General features: G+C 54.5%; 1 protein-coding gene across 40 annotated transcripts in view, besides 2 other annotated features; it reads left to right on the forward strand.

The window, feature by feature from the left end:
- Positions 1–19,029, forward strand: part of ARHGEF10L (Rho guanine nucleotide exchange factor 10 like) — a 184,441-nt gene that overhangs the window by 79,102 nt on the left and 86,310 nt on the right. For 25 of the 40 annotated variants that reach the window (NR_137287.2, XR_946686.4, XR_946691.3 and 22 more), the window contains 3 exons: positions 9,591–9,682; positions 10,972–11,055; positions 15,263–15,441. Coding sequence is in view for 36 of the 40 variants with exons in the window: in XM_024448061.2 (XP_024303829.1) it covers positions 9,591–9,682; positions 10,972–11,055; positions 15,263–15,441 (355 nt within the window). In the remaining 4 variants the exon portion in view is untranslated. The remainder of the gene's footprint in view (positions 1–9,590; positions 9,683–10,971; positions 11,056–15,262; positions 15,442–19,029) is intronic. The other 15 variants (NR_137288.2, XM_006710731.1, XM_047424111.1 and 12 more) reach the window with 1 other exon arrangement.
- Positions 15,350–15,878: an enhancer, noted in NCBI's record as "H3K4me1 hESC enhancer chr1:17934381-17934909 (GRCh37/hg19 assembly coordinates)". NCBI's record gives its function as "activates a minimal SCP1, AML or CMV promoter by ChIP-STARR-seq in naive H9 embryonic stem cells {active_cell/tissue: H9 hESC(naive)}" and the evidence as "EXISTENCE:reporter gene assay evidence [ECO:0000049][PMID:30033119]".
- Positions 17,777–18,278: an enhancer, noted in NCBI's record as "H3K4me1 hESC enhancer chr1:17936808-17937309 (GRCh37/hg19 assembly coordinates)". NCBI's record gives its function as "activates a minimal SCP1, AML or CMV promoter by ChIP-STARR-seq in naive H9 embryonic stem cells {active_cell/tissue: H9 hESC(naive)}" and the evidence as "EXISTENCE:reporter gene assay evidence [ECO:0000049][PMID:30033119]".

A 19,029-nucleotide genomic window follows, 5' to 3' on the forward strand; every position in this document is an offset into this window, starting at 1 on the left:
CAGGGCAAGAGGAGACCAGGCTCAGCAAAGCAGTATTGGCACAGGATGGAAACAGGGCGCTGGTGGCCTGTGGCTTCTGAGACTGCTAGGTGTGGGGGACATAGGGGCTCATGGGAAGGGCAGGTCAGCAAGGCCGGAGTGGGTCCGCAGCGTCTGGAGGAAATCTTCAAGATTTCCCAGATTGCCGCAGACCTAGTCTGGAGTTGTTTGGAATCCTGGGCTTCTCCTTACATGTGCTGTTTCCCAAATCCGGAACATTTGAGCCTCCTGCGTCCTGTCCCGCAGGGTCCATGCGGGACGTGAGGCATGGCAGATACCGGCTCTCCGCCCATGGAGTCCCCCATGGGAGGGTTATGGGGACCAGGTCTTTCTTTCCATTAAAAATCTTTCTTTAAAGGTCCCTTGCCAAATCCATAAATTGGACAAGCTGGTTTTTGTGTTTTCTTTCCTTCTTTTCCTTCTCCGAGGGTAGAAACAAGGGCTCCCAGTTTCCAATCAGAGCCAGGACCTTTGGATCCCAGGCCCTTTGAGGACCCCCACAGCCTCTTCATTGAAGAAGGCACTTGCAGGGTACCTGGTTGGCACATCTCTTCATGGTATAAATATGCCTTCAAGGAATCCTGTGACGTTCCTCCCTGCATCCCTGCAGCGGTGGGACTCTGCCTCACTCGTTTTTTATCCCAGTGCCTGGCAGAGATGGTGCAACAATACTAACAGCCTACACGTGCACGGACTTTACAGTTTACATCTCATTTTGATTCTCACAACTGTGGGAGGCAGAATCATGGCCCTTCCACCCCTTGGAGATTTCCGTGTCTTCATCCCCAGCACCTGTGAATCTGTGACGCTGCGTGGCAAAGGGACTTGGCAGATGTGATTAAGTGAGGGGTTTTGAGATGGGGAGATGACCCTGGGTTATCTGTGGGCCCAGTGGCACCACAAGGGTTGTGACAAGAGGGAGACAGGAGGGCCAGAGTCAGAAAGAGGTGGGAAGATGCCACGCTCCTGGCCTTGGAAATGGAGGACGGGATTGTGACCAAGGAATGCAGGTGGCTTCTCGAGGCTGGAAAAGGTGGGGGATGGCTTCTCCCCTGGAGCTGCCCCTGCTGAAACCTCGCTTTTAGTGAGAGCACAGCCCTGCCGAAACCTCGCTTTTAGCCCTGCGAACCCCTTGATGGCCTTCTGACCTCCACACCTGTGAGAACAGATTTGTGTTGTAAGTCACTAAGTTCGTGGTCATCTGTTACAGCAGCCATAGGAAACTAACACGACAGCCCTGGAAAGAGGAAATTATCGTGGGCACCATTTTGCAGACCAGACCTGGGAGAGAGCGTCACTTGTCTGTGGGGCTGGGCTGGCAGGCATGGTGCTTGGGCTCAAAGCCTCAGGCCAGGGGCTCTGTTTGCCCTTTCTCTATGGCCCTCTCTGTGCATCTAGGATGGTGCTCTGCTGACTGGCCGGTATTCCCCTGCCCTTCCCTTGCGTCTTCCTGTCCTTTCACCCAGCACCTCTTTACTGAGTGACTGCGATGGGGGCTGACATGCTCTGCCAGGCCATGTTATTTTTATGTGCCTGTGTGTGTGTTTGGCTCTAGGGCCAGATCATAATGGCCTGAATGTACCCAGCACTTCTTACATGCTGCGCTCTGAGAGCTTTCCCTCCCCAGTGCCATTCATCCTTGCAACACTCTCACAGGACAGGCGCTGATACAATCTGCATTCTAGAGATGTGGGAACTGGCACAGAGAGGACATGACATCAGCCCAAGGTCACAGAGAAAGATGAGCAGAGCCAGAGTTAACCCCAGCTGGCTTCCAGAACCTGTGTTCTAATCCCTCTGGTGCAACCGTCTCCCACACAGAGCTGGTTTGGATCCCGCCTGCCCTACATGTTAGCTGCATGACCCAGGACATGCTCTTTGGCTTCTCTGCCTAACCCTCAGTTTCTTTTCTTTTCTTTCTTTTGAGATGGAGTCTCTGTCGCCCAGGCTGGAGTGCAGTGGCGTGATCTTGGCTCACTCCAACCTCTGCTCTGCCCCCTGGGTTCAAGTGATTCTTCTGCCTCGGCCTCCCGAGTAGCTGGGATTACAGGCACCCGCCACCATGCCCGGCTAATTTTTTTCTATTTTTAGTAGAAACGGGGTCTCACCATGTTGGCCAGGCTGGTTTCAAACTCCTGACCTCAAGTGATCTGCCTGCCTTGGCTTCCCAAAGTGCTAGGATTATAGGTGTGAGCCACCATACCCGGCCCCCTCAGTTGCTAATCTCTGTAAAGCAGGGTGATGAGACTCACCGGATGGCACTGTTGGTGGGGATGAAATGAGATGGGAGAGATTAGGTGCTTACTCGGTGAGCTGCTCATTGTCACTGTCTCCAAAGGGTGTGGAGCTGTCTGGGGCTGACTCCAGGCACAAGGGACCCCTCCCTGGCCTGTGCATTGCTTAGCATTACCTGAGATGCTCTTCAGTCCATCCCTCCTCCCTACCTCCTCCTCTCTCTTCCTTTTTAAAAAAAATACAGTTTGTTGTAGAAAAATTAGAAAGTACAGAAAATGATAGACTAAAAGCAACTTTTAATCCTACCATGATGTGTTTCTGTCCAGCTTCTTTGCTAGGCATGTATGCAAGTATGCATGATTGTTTTTATAGAACTGTGGTTTATTGCACATGCTGTTTCGTGGCTCACCTTTTTTTTTTTTTTTTTTTTTTTTTAAAGCTAATTACATATCATGAGCATTTCCCCAGGGGAACTTGTATTGTTTTGCAACAACCCACATGGCTCTCGATACATTTTTGCCAGGGGTGCAGGGCCTCTCCATGTCTGACCAAGCCCTGGGGCCCCTGAGATGTCAGGGAGGGAGGTGCATTGCCACAGAGCAGGAGGCCAGAGGCTGGGCTTTGGCCCAGCATGTGTGTGGGGGGCCACCTGTACAGAGATGGCTCCCCAGAGGCCTCGACGCTCACTCCCTGCTGAGGTCTGTGATATGATGCCACCTGAGGGCCGCTCTGAGACTTCCCCTGGGGGGCTTCTCACTGCTCTCTACTCATCCAGTAAGGGGATCTGTGACCATGTGTGGGGTGGCACAGGAGAGACACACGGGGTCCTGGAAGCCCTCTGTGCACAGGATGGGCGGCCACAGAGGGAAGAGGGAACACATGCAGGTGAGGCCCCCGTGCCTGGAGGAGAGGCGGAGGGAAGGAGGGGGCGGGGAAGCAGCACACACGAGGCCATACCACGTGCCAGCCCCTGTGCCAGAGGATTTACATGCCTTCTTTATTTACTCCGTACCAGAACCCTGCGAGGGAGGTAGTGTTGCCTCATTTTACAGATATGGAAACTGAGGCACGGAGAAATGCTAAGTGCTTTATCTGCATCATCTCACTGAATCCTCACAGCTGGAAGTAGGACTGATACTTCACCCTGGTCCACATTCAGTAACTTGTCCCGGTGCACACAGCCAAGTGGCTGAGCCACAGTCATATCCCAGGTCGTGGCCCCGGGGTGCTTACTTCTTCCCCCCTCACGCCTGGGAGCCCTGGTTCTCAACCCTGGCTGCATGCTGCAGCCTGCAGGGAGCTTACCCCTGACCAACAGTCAGAGTCTCTGGGGCGGGGGCCCTGGCGCCCACATCTTCTAGGGGCGCCCTGCTGACTCTAGTGGGCCGCCAAGCCAGATGCTCTCTAAGGTCCTCAGCTTTGACATGCTGTACAACCAGGTCAAGTGGCCAGGGCCAAAAAGAGACCCAGCAGCAGGCTGAACCTGGGCTGCGTGTTCTTCCCTTTCCTTCGTGTCTCTTGATCGGGCCATCATGCTGGGAGGAGTTTCCGAGGCGGGCGGTGACACTGTGTGGGGCTGTCCTACGCAAACTCTCCTGTCCTGTCCCTCCCTGTGCTGCAGCTTGGGTTTTCCTTGAGGCCTTATAAGGCAAATGTCATTCCAGTCCTTTCTAGTCCCATCCCCAAAGGTGAAGTTCTTTCCTTTCTCATATTTGTTATGCCTTGTCCTGGCAAGGGCCCCAGAATGCTTGTGCGTGTGGACCATGCTGGCCAGGAATCCTTAGCTTGTTCTGGTTTTGGGGGTCTCCTCCCCGACCACCCACATGGTGCAGCCTCTGGGAAGGGACCCTTGGAGGTTCACTGAGAAACTGGGGCCTGTAGCAGCCCCTGCAGGGGTGGCGGGTGCCATTCTCTGGAGTGGGGCTTCTTATCTTTAAAACAGGCTGGGGGCCCGGCGCGGTGGCTCATGCCTGTAATCCCAGTACTTTGGGAGTACTAGGCGGATCCGAGGCAGGTGGGTCACCTGAGGTCAGGAGTTCAAGACCAGCCTGGCCAACATGATGAAACCCTGTCTCAACTAAAAATACAAAAAAAAGTAGATGGGCGTGGTGGCACACGGGGACCTACCCCTCCCTGCCCTGCTGCTCTTTGGAGAGAGAAGAGGTGGGGCACAAAGGTGCTTGGAGCTCTGTGGACCAGAAACGCACCAGGTGGCCTTCTGGTGCACTTGAACTCCTCTGCCGGCAATGTAGGTTGCTGCTTGGGGGTGCTGGGAGGGGTCCTTTCCTCTCTTCCCTGCTTCTGCATCTGCTTCTGCCTTTTCCTCCCCATCTCCTGCCCCTCACCATGGATTCAGCTTCTTTCCTTTGCATTCAGGTTGCTGGCCTTACTCTCATTTGCAAGCTGAGAGGCATTAGGAGAGCAGGAAGCTCAGATAAGGGTGAGATAATTGCCTCTTACTGGTTTTTATGGCTCTTTTATGACCCGGAGGCCCCTGAAGGAGTGTTTGTTCACAGGGAGAATTAGACACGGCAGCCCTGCGTGGCTTCCATGGACAGCGGCTGGGAGAGGCTGCTCCGGGTGGGTACAGGGTGGGTCCAGGGCCTTGGCAGGCATCAGGGAGGGTCACGGGTACAGGAGGGGCCCCCAGCCTCATTTCTTGCCGTGCCCTCTTTGCATGCGTGTCTTGAGCTGGAACGTTGCTCGTGTCCCTGCTCCCCCAACTTTATTCCTCTTCCCCTGCCTGGGAAGCCCTTTCCCCATCTCATCGGCCCGAGGAACACCTGCTCCAGTCTAGGGAGGCAGCGGAGGTGGTCCTGAGAGCAAGGCTTTGCAGATAGATCACCGGGGTTCAAACTGCCGCTGTGCCACTTGCTGGTCAGGTGACTTGGGTAGTGGGGGTGGGCAGGAAGTGACCTCTCTATGCTGTGGGGACCCCCATTCCCCAGCCCAGTACACCAGAGCCAGTACCTGGGCTGGTCGCTCACTGGGTTTTGATAAGGTGCAGCGAGGAGGAGCCTCCCCCTGCCTATGAGTCGGCTCATCAGGTGTTTCCAAATCCCTCCTGAAGTTGCCTGACCTCACCCAGTGATGCCTCTGCCCACCTCCACGTCACCTTTACAGTTTACATGGGGCTTTCTCTGGTGTTCTCTTGGTTAAACTGCATTCTTTCGGTTAAAGCGTGCTGCAGCCTTTGAGCTGGGTGTTACGCTTTCTCTTGGACAGTGTCTGAGTTCATTTGGGCTGCTGTAAGACAATGCCATAGATTGGGTGGCTTATAAACAAGAGAAACTTTTTTTTTTTTTTTTTGAGATGAAGTATTGCCCTGTCCCTCAGGCTGGAGTGCAGTGGCACGATCTCAGCTCACTGCAACCTCCGCTTCCCGGGTTCAAGCGATTCTCCCATCTCAGCCTCCTGAGTAGCTGGGATTACAGGCATGTACCACCATGCCTGGCTAATTTTTGTATTTTTGGTAGAGACAGAGTTTCACCATATTGGCCAGGCTGGTCTCAAACTCCTGACCTCCAGTGATCTACCCACCTTAACCTTCCGAAGTTCAGGGATTAGAGGCGTGAGCCACCACACTGTGCCTAAGAGACTTATTTCTCACAGTTCACAAGGCTGGGAGGTCCAAGATCAGGGTGCCAGCAGATTCAGTGTCTGATGAGGGCTCATTTCCTGATCATAGATGACACCTTCTCACTGTGTCCTTACATGGTAGAAAGGGCAGAGGAGCTCTCTAGGGCCTCTTTTATATGGGCACTAATCCCAACCATGGGGGCTCTGCTCTTATGACCTAATCACCTCTGCAAAGGCCCCACCGCCTAATACTATCACCTTGGGGGTGAGGATTTTAACACATGGACTTTTTTTGTCAGGGGAACACAGACATTCATACCATAGCAGATGGAGACTTGAACTTGAGCCTCTGAGTGTGCCGAGGGCTACTGCTCTCTCTCTCTCTTTTTTTTTTTTTATAAAATGGTAGCTAAACAGGCAAGATCTGAGGTAACCATATGCCACAGCAAACCTGTGATGTAGGTGAATGTCTACATGCAAGTTCTCGACTTCCAGGTGGTCTGGTTGAAACAATAGAAGCTTTGCAGGTAGACGTAGTGTAAGATCCCAGCTCCCACTAATTAGCTGAGTGATTTCTGGGTAATTGAAACTTTGTGAGGCTCAGTTTCCCCACCTGTAGAATAGGGGTAACAACACCTGCCTCCGGTGTGTTCCTGCAAAATTAAATGTGCAGGTCGGGCTTGTAGGCTCACTCCCAGCACTTTGGGAGGCCAAGGTGGGCAGATCACCTGAGGTCAGGAGTTCGAGACCAGCCTGGCCAACGTGGCGAAACCCCATCTCTACTAAAAATACAAAAATTAGGTGGGCATAGTGGCGCGTGCCTGTAGTCCCATCTACTTGGAAGGCTAAGATGGGAGAATTGCTTAAATCCAGGAGGTAGAGGTTGCAGTGAGCTGAGATCGTGCTGCTGCACTCCAGCCTGGGTGACCAAGTGAGACTGTCAAAAAAAAAAAAAGAAAAAGAAAAAAAAAACGTGCAATTACATGTAAAGCAGAGCAAGCAGTGCATGGCGGATGCTTTGTCACGGTCACTGTCATGGCCACATATCAGAGCAAAGAGGACCTGTGGCCGGGAGACTGTCCAGCCAACCTCTTCTAAGCTCACGTCTGTTCCAGCCGGAAGAGTTTGGTTCTGTCTGAGCAATTCCGAGCAACTGATGTGGCGCCTTCAGGATGTTTCTGTGTTGAGGAGGTGGCGGCTCAGCGAAGCAGCTGTTAGAAATCGGGGTTCAGGTGGCTCCCATCAGCCCATCACCCACCTTCCTGGTCCAGAGAAGCCCTGTCCTCTCTTGGCCTTTACTTCCTGTCATTGGTGGAAAGTGTCTCCCCAGGACCAAATGTGCTGCCTTCCTTGCCCTGGGGTGACACTGTTGACTTCTGGCAGTGAAATGTGAGCTGACACTTGCTCCTCTAATAGGGCAGGTGACTTAGACCTGCACCACCCAGTCCAGTGGCCACTAGTCATGTGTAGCTATTTAAAATTAAATTACTTGAAATCAAATAGAGTTAAAAATTAAGTTCCTTAGTCCCACTAGCCACATGTCAAGTGCTCAATAGCCACGTGGCTGGTGGCTGCTGCACCGGATAGGACAGGCAGGAGCATTCTCGCCACCACCACCGCTCTGCTTATTATCTGAGAGGCAGTGGAGGGTGGCACTCAGAGCCCAGCTTGGGAGCTAGACAAGCTGGCCTCATGGTCTGGCCCTGCCACTCCCTGGCAGAGTGATCTTGGGCAGGTTCTTCTACTTCCCTGCAGAATGCAGAAGATGCCAGGATCCTGTGTGGTGCTGGGAAGGTGAGGCAGAGGGCCTGGCTCACAGGAGGTGCTCAACAGCAGAGATCCCTCCTCGCAGCCTCCTCCCCTCCCTCTTCCCCTGCCCTGTCCTACTCTTCATCTGCTACAGGCTCGGGTGCCAGGAAGGGAAGTTCAAGTTGATTCTTTGGCAACGGTGCTGTTCTCTTGACAGTCTAAGGCCTCTGCCCTCTAGGTTGGCATAAGTGGTCTTTGGTCTTTGTTTTGTTTTTTTGAACCTGGACTTCAAAAAAATTCACGTTAGAATAGCTTTAGATTTTCAGAGATGTTCTGAAGAGGGAACATAGAGCTCCACATACCCCTCATCCAGCTTCCCTGCTATGAGCATCTCACATGGCCTTGGCACAGTTGTCAAAGCTGAGACCTACGTTGGCACATTACCATTCACTAAACAGATTTTGTGTGGATTTCATCAGTTTTCCTACTTATGTTTATTTTTTGACCCAGGATCCAATCTGGGATCCCACGTTGCGCTTAACTGTCATGTCTCTGTAGCCTGCTCCAGCCCGTGGCAGTTTCTCAGTCTTTCCTTGATTTCCAAGACCTTGAGAATATTGAGGAGTGATGTTTAGGTGCGGTGACTCACTCCTGTAATCCCAGCACTTTGGGAGGCTGAGGTGGGTGGATCACTTGAGTTCAGGAGTTTGAGACCAACCTGGCCAACATGGTGAAACCCCATCTCTACCAAAAGTGCAAAAATTAGCTGGGTGTGGTGGCGCATGCCTGTAATTCCAGCTACTTGGGAGACTGAGGTGGGAGGATTGCTTGAACCCGGGAGGCAGAGGTTGCAGTGAGCCGAGATCGCACCACCGCCCTGAAGCCTGGGCGACAGAGCGAGGCTCTGTCTCAAAAAAAAAAAAAAAAAAACAAAAAACAAAAAACTCTAAAAAAACAAAAAGAGTCTTGAGGAGTAATGCCAGGTATTCGGTACAATGTTCCCCACTCCGATTTTGTCTGGTGTCTTCTCTGTGATTAGACTGGGGTTATGCGTTTTGGATAAAAACACCATGGAGGTGAAGTACCCATTTCATGACGTCTTATCAGGACACATGGCACCTGCGTGGCGTCTCTACAGATGCTCACCTGGGTCTCTTGGTTCGGGACGTGTCTGCTGGGCTCCTCTGCTGTTTCCCATTTGCATGTCTGCTCTGTGGAAGGGACTCACTGGGCCAGCCCATCCTCAAGTGTGCATGAGGGACTAAGCTCTACCTCCCACTTACAGTCTTTTGAAGCTTTGCAAGTCTTGTTTCTTTTTCCTTTTTTTGATGGAGTGTTGTTTTGTCATCCAGGCTGGAGTGTAGTGGCATGATCTTGGGTCACTGCAACCTTCCTCTTCTGGGTTCAAGTGATTCTTGTGCACCAGCCTCCTGAGTAGCTGGGGCTACAGGCATGCACCACCACGCCTGGCTAATTTTTGTATTTTTAGTAGAGACGGAGTTCCACCATGTTGGCCAGGCTGGTCTTGAACTCCTGACCTCAAGTGATCCACATGCCTTGGCCTCCCAAAGTGCTGTGATTACAGGCATGAGCTACCGTGTCCAGCCAAGTCCTTGTTTCTTTCAAGAGGCAGGGATCCCCCAGCCTGCCCCTTCTGTTGTATGTGGGAGAGTGGAGAGGTGGAGGTTCCCTTTGAGTCTGCACTAGGGAGAGACGAGACAGCCCCCTTGCGGAGAGTGCTTGGTGCTTATCACTGTGAACAAGGTTGATCTTCATGCTCTTGTGAAGTGCCAGCCCAACCTTATGCACGCCTTCTAAAGATGAGGAGCCTGGGGGCTTGTCTGAGGCCAACTCCACCTCAGGTCTCCCCAGCAGCCTGGCCCTCAGCCCACTTTTGCCCATCATGTCCCGCTGACCAGGTGAGGGGCTGCCAGAGGCTTCTGGGAGCCACCTCTGGACACCTCTGCAGTGCCATCTCTTGCCCGCAGGGTGCCAGCCTGGGTGAGCAATGGGGATGCAGCGGACGCAGCCTTCTCCGGGGCCCGGCACTCCAGCTGGAAGCGGAAGAGTTCCCGTCGCAGTAAGTCTCCCCTCCGGCCCACCGCCCACCCCAGGTAGCAAGCTCCAGGATATTCTAGTCTTTCTAACCCAAGAGAGCTGATGTGGGCTCCTGTGAGCCCAGGGTTCATCCTCACCGGGGGCTTCTGTGGCCCTGGAGGACCAACCACCGCCCCCAAGAGCCAAGGTCCAGGATCAGTTGACACACCCAGTTTTTCATCTGCTCCTCAAATACTTACGAAGTTCCCACAACAGGCCAGGGCGGCCCAGTGGTGGGAGTGCCCTGGGGACCAGAATGAGGTCCCTCTGTTAACAGAACCAGACACCTTGCCATGGGAAGGTGCCTGCCCAGATGAGCCCTCCAGAAAGAGAGGGAGGCAGCAGGGGTGGGGGAAAGAGGGTCCCAGACAGAGGGGCCAACTTGTACAAGGGCCTGAGGGCAGGAGGACCCCTGACTCCCGGGAAGCAGCAAGGGCCTCATCTGTGGGGTGTGGGGGAGCGTTATGGGGTGAGGTGTGGCTGCGGGCCCTGCAGCTCCTCAGGGCCCCAGAGGCAGTGCTTAAGGTTCTCAAGGCAATAGGAAGCCACAGAAGGAAGGCCAGTGATGTGGCTGCCTTTGCCTTTCAGTCCTGTTGCACTGGGGTGGGGGCAGTGTAGGAGACCAGGTGGGGAAGGGTGGAGCCTGCTGGGAGGCTATCGTGGTCTTGTAGGACAGGAAGTCTGAGGGTGGGAACTAGGGGTCTAGAGAGAGGTGGGCAGGCCTGGGAGCTGGTGTGGGGAGGAAGAGGGGGCTCTGACAGGGCTCTAGGGGCCCAGGACCTAGGGAAGCATCACAGGCCAGTGGGTCTCGTGACTTCTTCCTGGAAGGCCTGTGGGTCAAGGACCGGCTCCCATCAGGGGTGGGGGCTGGTTTTCCAAGTCCTAGCACTGCTCAGTGACGAGGGTCTAGCCCCGGGGTCCTGGGTGACTGAGGATGCTAGGGCCAGGGCACAGGTGCTGGACTGCGTCATGCTCCCTGCAGGGGCCGGGAGCAGCTGTCCATTAGCCAGATGGGCAGGCCTGCGGGCAGCAGGGAGCCAGGTGGGGTCTGTGCAGTCACTGGGAGGGCGCCTTGGAGGGGGTGGGGGGCGGGGAGAAGCGAGGGAGCCGGCATCCCCTGAGGGCAGCTGGCGGAGCTAAGGGCTGGGCTGGGCTATCAGAAAGGAGGGTGCTGCGTGCCACCAGCTGGTGCAGTCCTGATGTCATCTGCAGCACCTCTGGCCAGGCTGCCACAGCCCACGGTGGTGCTCTCTCTCCCCACTTCCCTCCCAGTTGACCGGTTCACTTTCCCCGCCCTGGAAGAGGATGTGATTTATGACGACGTCCCCTGCGAGAGCCCAGATGCGCATCAGCCCGGTATGATGTCTGCAGTGCTTCCCTGTTTCTCTTGGGGACAGGGGAGGGAGGCTGGGACTGGGGAGGGTTGTCTCTTTCCGTTTCCTTCTGTCCCCACCTGGCCAAGTGCCCCTCCTTCTTGTCTTTAGAAACAACTGTAGTCATCGGGGAGAATCTGGAGATGGCTGAGGGCGTGGCCACCGGGGCCGGGCAGGGCTTGGGCATCATGGGCAGGGCCATGCTCCGGCTATGGGTCCCCGGGCAGGTAATCACCTTTCTAAGCCTTGGTTCCTCCTTCAGGAAAATGGGGCCATACCCCAGGCTTTCTGGGGCTGTTGGGGAAGACGACAGACTGTTACACTCAAAGGGTGAAGCAGATAAAGCTTTGCAAAGCCCTGCGCCCTGCTCTGGGTTGAGGGCTGAGGTGGGCAGGCAGGCAGGCGATTGTGGCCGCAGAAGGGAGATGGGGCGGGCCTGGGGCGAGTCTTGCTGGAACTCACCTGATGGAAGAGAGGACTGTTCATTGGCAATTAACAGGAAGAGCCGTCTTTGCTTGGACACGTTAGGCCAAGCATATTTTCAATCATGTAATGGCTTCAAGACTTTGGGATGTTACCTTCTCATTTTACAGACAAGGGAACGGCAGAGGCAGGGCTAGGATTTGAATGTGGGTCATTCTGACCCCCAGTTCAATGCTCTGTCCCCTACCCCAGGAGGATTTCTGTGGCATTTTGTGACAGATGAGGCACATTTGATCCCACTGATCCCACGACCCCTTGAGGTCAGCAGGGCCAGGCTTATTTATGGCTCCCATGATGAAGAGGTTAAATCACCAGCCCCAGAGTACACAGCCAGGATTTGAACAGCGACTTCTTTTCCTACTATGCGATTCTTCCTGTTTTCAGGGGCTCTCCGTCCAATGGGGAAGCACAGCCCCTGCTTTTGAGGAGCTCCGAGTCTGATGGGGCAGCTCTAACCATCCTTGAGCAGCACAGAGCGCAATGGGAGAGACACACAGACAACACGGCAAGGCCCGAGGGCCCCAGAGCCACACTCCTGACTCCTGTCTCAGGAACGGGGACACCTGGGCCAAGGATATGCTTATCCCTTTAGCAAGCCTGGGATGTGCTTGGAGCACATTTTCCTGTTTGTAGCTCACTTGAGTCCAGGGAGCAATGGATTCCCACTGTATTAGGAGGCAAAGGAGTCTCAGAAAAGTCCCAGAGCTGGGAGGTCTGAGCGGCTGAGGGGCCTCAGTTGTTGTTTAACCCATTTGGCCTATTTCCCACCTGAATTCAATCAAGTCACTAAGTCCCTGGCTCCTGTCTTCACTGTCCTCAGGGTCTGGGAGGATGTGGCATGTTCATGGCCTGGGTGTCACACAGCCTGTGTTTGCACCCTAGCTCTGAGCCTGCAAATGGGGACCACAGTACCCACCCCAGGATCCCCATATGCTGGGCTGTGGGAGGATCATTTGTGACAAGGCTGCACAAAGCTCAGTGCAGGGTGGAGTTTTGGAGATGCTTTTCACACAGGGCCACTGTTGCTGTTGTTGTTAGTGTTATGCCTGCCGAGGGTCCCAGCACTGGCCTGCCTGGGGCTGATGTGGGCTCAGCAGAAGCTTGGAGAGGAGCTCGGGCCAGCTCTGCCATTGATTTGGGCACAGGGCTTTGTGCCTTTGTGCCTTGGCTTCTTCACATAAAGCAGGAAAATCCCCAGCTCACAGGCCTTTGGGGAGGGTCACACGGGGTCCTGACCAATCTCTCTGGGCCTCAGTTGACCCATCTGTAGAACTGGGGCAATAATAGCCAGTCCTAGGGTGGTAGCGTAGATTCCATGAGGTAATTGATGAGGACACTGAGCAGGAAGCATGAGGGGACCCTTATGTGGTCCCTGAAAGCTGAGGAGTTGGCCCTCGGGCTGCACACAGGCACAAGAGTTCTGTGACTCTGTCTCCACTGGAGAGGATATTTCTATATGTGTAGATGGCGGGGACTTCAACGGAAGGTGGTACAGAACCCTGGCCCCGTTCACTGTCTTACTGTGGCCAGCCACATCTCTCCCATCTGTCTAATAGGAGGAGTGATCATTCACACCCTGCTGTCTGCACAGGGCCGCTGGGAGCCGTGGCACACCGAGGATGGAGGTGGTTGGGTGCACGGCTCAGCCCTGTGGAGGCGTGGACCTGCCACATGCTGCCAGGGTTCCTCCTCAGGGCTACCCTGAGAACTCTGCCTCTTTGGCCACTAGTTCAGGGGCCTCCACTGCAATAACAGGACAATCAGCCTGGCCTTCTGAAGGTCGCAGCTGCTCCACTCTCTAAAGACATTAGTTACTATTATCTTTTGCTTAAAAATAGCCTCATGTTCCCTCCTGGTTCTGGGACCCGTCTCCCACTAAGCTTTGGCACATCTGTTTTGTTCTTTGGCTGACACTCTTGCCCCCAACCTCTCGCACCCCACCTTTCCTGTGGGGTGAAGCTGGGGGGCCCTGGGTCTATGGACTGACACCCAAGCTCCCCCAGAGCCACCATGAGTGACGGCCTACTGCTCTCAGCCGAGTGCGTGCTATGTGTCAGGCACTTTGCCAAGAGCTCCGTGCCTGTTTTATTTACTCAACTTGTCCACTTATTATTAGCCACATTTTGCAGAGAGGTCTCTGATGACCAAAGCTCGCAGTTTTTCAGCACAGTCGTTTCTGAGCAGATTTCTTTTCTTCTTCTTCTTCTTCTTTTTTTTTTTGAGATGTTGTCTCTCTCTGTCACCCAGGCTGGAGTTCAGTGGCACGGTCTCGGCTCACTGCAGCTTCCGCCTCCCGGGTTCAAGCAATTCTCCTGCCTCAGCCTCCTGAGTAGCTGGGACTACAGGTGCGTGCCACCACACCCGGCTAGTTTTTGTATTTTTAGTAGAGATGGGGTTTCATCATGTTGGCCAGGCTGGTCTTGAACTCCTGACCTCAGGCGATCCACCCATCTCAGCCTCCCAAAGTGGTGGGATTACAGGTGTGAGCCACCGCGACCAGTCAGATTCCTTTTTTTTTTTTTTTAAAAAAACACAAAAACAAAAAAACCCTTCCCAATGCTATATTTCTTCTGTGATGACAAAAGCATTTTCATCTTCATGTACTTTTTGGCGTCTGACCCCAGTTTCATGAGGTCTGCAGTTCTCCAGGTAACAGATGAAGAAATGAAACCCAGTGGGGCAAAGGGCCTTGCCCAAGATCCCCCAGTGACGGAGCTGGGGCTGGGACCCTGTGTTCCGGCCTCGGGACAGTGGCTTTCCCACCTCAGGCTTCAAGTGGCATCTCATAGCCGAGTTGAATGGGCCCCACGAGTGCCCTGGCCCTTGTGGGACCTGTCCCTCCAGACTCTTAGCTTTTTGTCCCCAAGTTTTCAGTCCAAGGCATTTCCCGCAGGCTTAGGAAGGAAAGGAGCTCCTGGACTCTGGGCCAGCTGCGCCCCCTACTGGAAGATCCCAGGCTGCACGTGAAGTCAGATTTGGGGTGAGGAGCCCTGAGGCCCCAACAATCTCTGTTTCATTCCTGAGGATGCTGAGGGCCTGAGCCAGGACTTGGCTCCGGGTCTTCTCTTTTCCAGTAAGAAACAGGCCACGTGTGGTGGCTCGGCTGGGTGTGGTGGCTCACGCCTGTAACCCTGGCACTTTGGGAGGCCGTGGCAGGAGGATCACTTGAGTCCAGGAGCTCAAGACCAGCCTGGGCAACATAACAAGACTCCGTCTCTACAAAAAATTAAAAAATTAGCTGGGTGTGATGGTGCACACCTGTAGTCCCGGCTACCTGGGAAGCTGAGATAGGAGGATCTCTTGAGCCCAGGAGTTTGAGGCCACAGTGAGCTATGATTGTACCACTGCACTCCAGCCTGGGCGAGACAATGAGACCCTGTCTCTAAAACAAAATTGCCAAGGAGGCTCACAATGAGCGCTGAGACCATACAAAAGCAGTGCTGGGAGCAAAAGGAAGTGAGCGGGCTTGTGCACGTCTGACCCATTTCTTGGGTTTTCCCCATTTTCTCAGGCCCTCCTTGCCCTACGAGGGGGAAAATGTATTATCATCTTCGTTTCATGGTTGAGGAGGTAGAGCTGGAGCCCCAGGGCCCCCATGTTCTCCCTGACCCCCCCTCGCCCCACCTGGGTTCAGAAATTGGGTCTGAGGCTGGAAGTCTGGTAGGCTTGGCCTCAGGGCCTGGGCTCACCGGCTGCCGCTTGGCCAGCAGGGGCAGAGAGGAACCTGCTCTACGAGGATGCGCACCGGGCTGGGGCCCCTCGGCAGGCGGAGGACCTAGGCTGGAGCTCCAGTGAGTTCGAGAGCTACAGCGAGGACTCGGGGGAGGAGGCCAAGCCGGAGGTCGAGGTCGAGCCCGCCAAGCACCGAGTGTCCTTCCAGCCCAAGGTGAGGGGACCGGGGGTGTCGCTCACCTCAGTCAGGGCACGGAGACCCCTTCAGGGAGGGAGGGAGGGAGGGAGCTGGGTAGTGAGGGCCAGGCCTAGGACTCACGTCTGGGTCCCAGGGATTCCCGGGTATGTGTGGTGAGAGGGGAGCCAGAAGCCCAGGTCATCCCGAAACAGGAGGTGACTCGTAGACATTGCTGTTGGCAGCCCTAAGCCCGGGATGGGCATGGCTGGTACCTGGCACAGGTGCTCCCCCCACCCCCTTGCTATGGCAGACCTGGTCAATTGATCCTGATGCTCACGGGCTCAGACTGGGCTTCAGAGTCCTCTCAACGCCGCACTCCAGGTAGCCCAGCCACTTGCTTAGAGGTGGAGCCTGGATCAGATCCACTTGCTCTCCCCGCCTTCTGGGACTGATGCTCAGACCAGGCCTCAGCCCGCGCAGTCCTCTCTGCTCTGGGGCAGTGGAGAGTGGGGGCTGCTGTGGCTAAGCCAGAGCGGCCTGGAAGCCTTCTCTCCAGGGCCTCACACGGTGCCATCCATGCATTCAGCTTTCCTCGTGTTTCTGCCTGGAGTAGAGACCATTCTGCTTATTTCCTGGAGGGGAGCCCCTGAGGCTGTGAGGGGGATAGGTCATCTGGTTCCTTCTTTCCCATGGCACCCATGCTCCTTCCCTGTTGTTCTGCGGAAGCCACCAAGAGGCAGTGTCTGTCCGTGCTGAGATTTGCAGTTTCATGGGGACAGCTTCTTACAGGCCCTGACTGAGCAGAGGGGATGGCGTCCCTCTCAGGCTACTTTTATGTTTATTTTTATTAATTATTCTTTTGAGGCAGAGTCTCACTCTTTCGCCCAGGCTGGAGTACAGTGGCCCTATCTCGGCTCACTGTACCCTCTGTTTCCTGGGTTCAAGCAATTTTCTGCTTCAGCCTCCCAGGTAGCTGGGATTACAGGCGTGCACCATCATGCCTGGCTAATTTTTGTATTTTTGTAGAGATGGGGTTTCGTCATGTTGCCCAGGCTGGTCTCAAACTCCTGGCCTCAAGTGATCCACCTGCCTCGGCCTCCTAAAGTGCTGGGATTACAGGTGTGAGCCACCATGCCCAGCCTCAAGCTCCTTTTAAAAGATGTAGCGGGGCGGGAGAGCTCCACCTGGGGCCATTCCTGCATGGGCAGGGTGGGGACAAGAGAGGGGACTTTCCCAGTGCCTCCCACCTTTTCTGGGCTTGGGGGATCCACTCTGGGAGAGGCATGCTGGCCGGAGGAACACCCACACCTGAGTCCTCAGGCAGCCATTCCTCAGACCAAGATGGGCTCCCTGAGTCCTGAGCAAGCCTGGGACTGAGCAGGTCTCTCTCAGCCTGCTGTTTCCAGGGATGGGCCTCCAGGGGTGGGCTGTGGAAAACAGCCTTAATGTCTTGCTAGCCAAAAAGCGAAGCATTTACAACACCTACTGTGTGCCTAGTCCATATCTTCAGTTGTGGGACGGGATACATTGGAACAGGAAGACCTAATCTGTGCTCAGTGAACCTTTACGGTCCATAGGAGACACTGAATGGGAAACAGTTTGTCAAAAATGAACACAAAATGCTGGTCATCATGATCAGTGTGGTACAATTTTCAAAGCTAAACTATCATGCCCTTCAAAACATAATGAAGACAAAAATGCCTTTACGTAAACATGAGCCTGTGTCCAGCCTGGCTGTGTGCCTGACAGGGGTAGGGACTGATGAGACCAATCAGAGACGCCTCTGAGAGCGGTGAGTTGGAGCTGGGCTTAGGAGCTAGAGGAGACAGGACAGGTGATCCAGGCTGGAGGAGCGGCCCAGGCAGAAGCCCAGGAACAGCTCGTTGCTGCTTCCTGCAGTTCAGAAGGGGCAGCATGCACTGCTTTAGGGAAGGGGGCTTTGGTTATGAAGCCCCCACTCCCCCCAGTAGCCTCTCCATATGGCAGGACCCGTGCGTCCCAGCCCTGCTCTGGGCAGTGTGACCAGATGGGGCTCTCGAGTCCTGGCCCAGCCTTTTAGCCTCAGCCTCTGGCGTTCCTCCTCCTCTCCCATGTTGTCCCCGGCCCTCTTGCTGGGACTGGGAGGAAACCATGCGTGTCTCTCAGAGGGAAGGAGGGATGACAATGCTGAATTCAGGCTTTCCAGCGGTGGTCCCCATGCTTCCACGGGCATCAGAACCACATGGGTAACTGATTGAATCACAGATGCCAGGGCCTCACCAGGGACTCTGATTCAGGGGTTGGGTGGGGCCCGGTAATCTGCCTTTTAAGCAGCTCTCTGCCCCCAGGGGGTATAAGGGGCCCACAGAGCACTCCAAGAAATGCTGGGCTGTACTCACCATGGCCTGGCCCTGGGACCTCTGGGGGCTGCCTGTGAGCTCGTGTCCCTCACACTCTCAGGCTGGGGGCTTTGGACCCTTCCTCAGCAGAAAAACTATGTGGCACAGTTGTTGGGATTTCTAACCACTTGGAGTTTTTCTCTGGCCGTGGCCAAGGCCCACCTGCTCGCTGATCAGCAGGCTCCTAGGGAGACAGGAGGTTGCGGAGGGCTTTTCCTCTGGTACCCACTTCTGCCAGGGACTCTACTGAGCCTGCCTGTGGTGCTTCACCCTCCTGAGCTGCTTGGGGCGCACCTGCTCACCCGCTGGCATTGCAGCAGCTGCATGTTTTAGGGCCACTGCTGCTTGGCTATGTGCTGTGTGTGCTGTGGGCACAAGCTGACAGCAGGGGTCTGGGGATGTGTTTTGTCCTGTTCTTGGAGACTGACCATGGCCAGGCACCCTGCCCAGCTGCAAGAGAACTAATGGAACCCCTTCTTCAGAGATCCGAAGAGGCCGTCCCTAGGCAGGTGGACTCTTGCCAAAAAAAGTGACCATGGGGTCTGTAGAGGGGCACGGACCCAAGTGGAAGCAGCTGCCTCATCCTGTTATGTGAACAAGTGGTCCTGCTGGTGCCAATCCAGGATCTGTGGTTTTTTTTTTTTCCAGTTGTGGGATGGATTGCATTGAACTCTCCCACTCTCCAGTGGTGACCTCTTTGAAATCAAGGTCTCTGATCCAGCTGGACGGGGACTGGGCAGAACTCATGGATTCATTACAGAAACGCCAGCCCTGGCCCAGCCTGGTCTACCCCCTGCTCTGATCTGGCCAACTCAGCAAGTGGCCTCTGATCCTAACATTTCCTAGTTCTTCTGACCCTGAGAGAAGTGATGGAGCACCAGAAGGCCCAGGGGCTTTATGGTTTTATTATGTGAAACTATTTTATGGATGAACAGGACTCAGGTCAAACCCCAAACTCCTCAGTTTTTTGGGAGTCTGGGTAGCTCTCAGAGGGACCCCTGTCCTGCATGCATACTTCTTTGCATAACAATATTGAACATTTGCCTAGAATGGTACACTTTACAAAGCAGTGTCATTTAATTTTCCCAGTACCCTAAGTGGTCAGTATTATTGTCCTTAAGATTCTCATTTTGTTGATCAGAAAACCTGTGTGAAGCTCAGAGAGACTTAAATGATGTAGAATGCAATATCACAGGTGCCTCATCTGTCTGTATATCCATCCATCCATCCATCCATCCATCCATCC

This window comes from Homo sapiens, chromosome 1 (assembly GCF_000001405.40).
Source record: "Homo sapiens chromosome 1, GRCh38.p14 Primary Assembly".
Taxonomy (NCBI): Eukaryota; Metazoa; Chordata; class Mammalia; order Primates; family Hominidae; genus Homo; species Homo sapiens.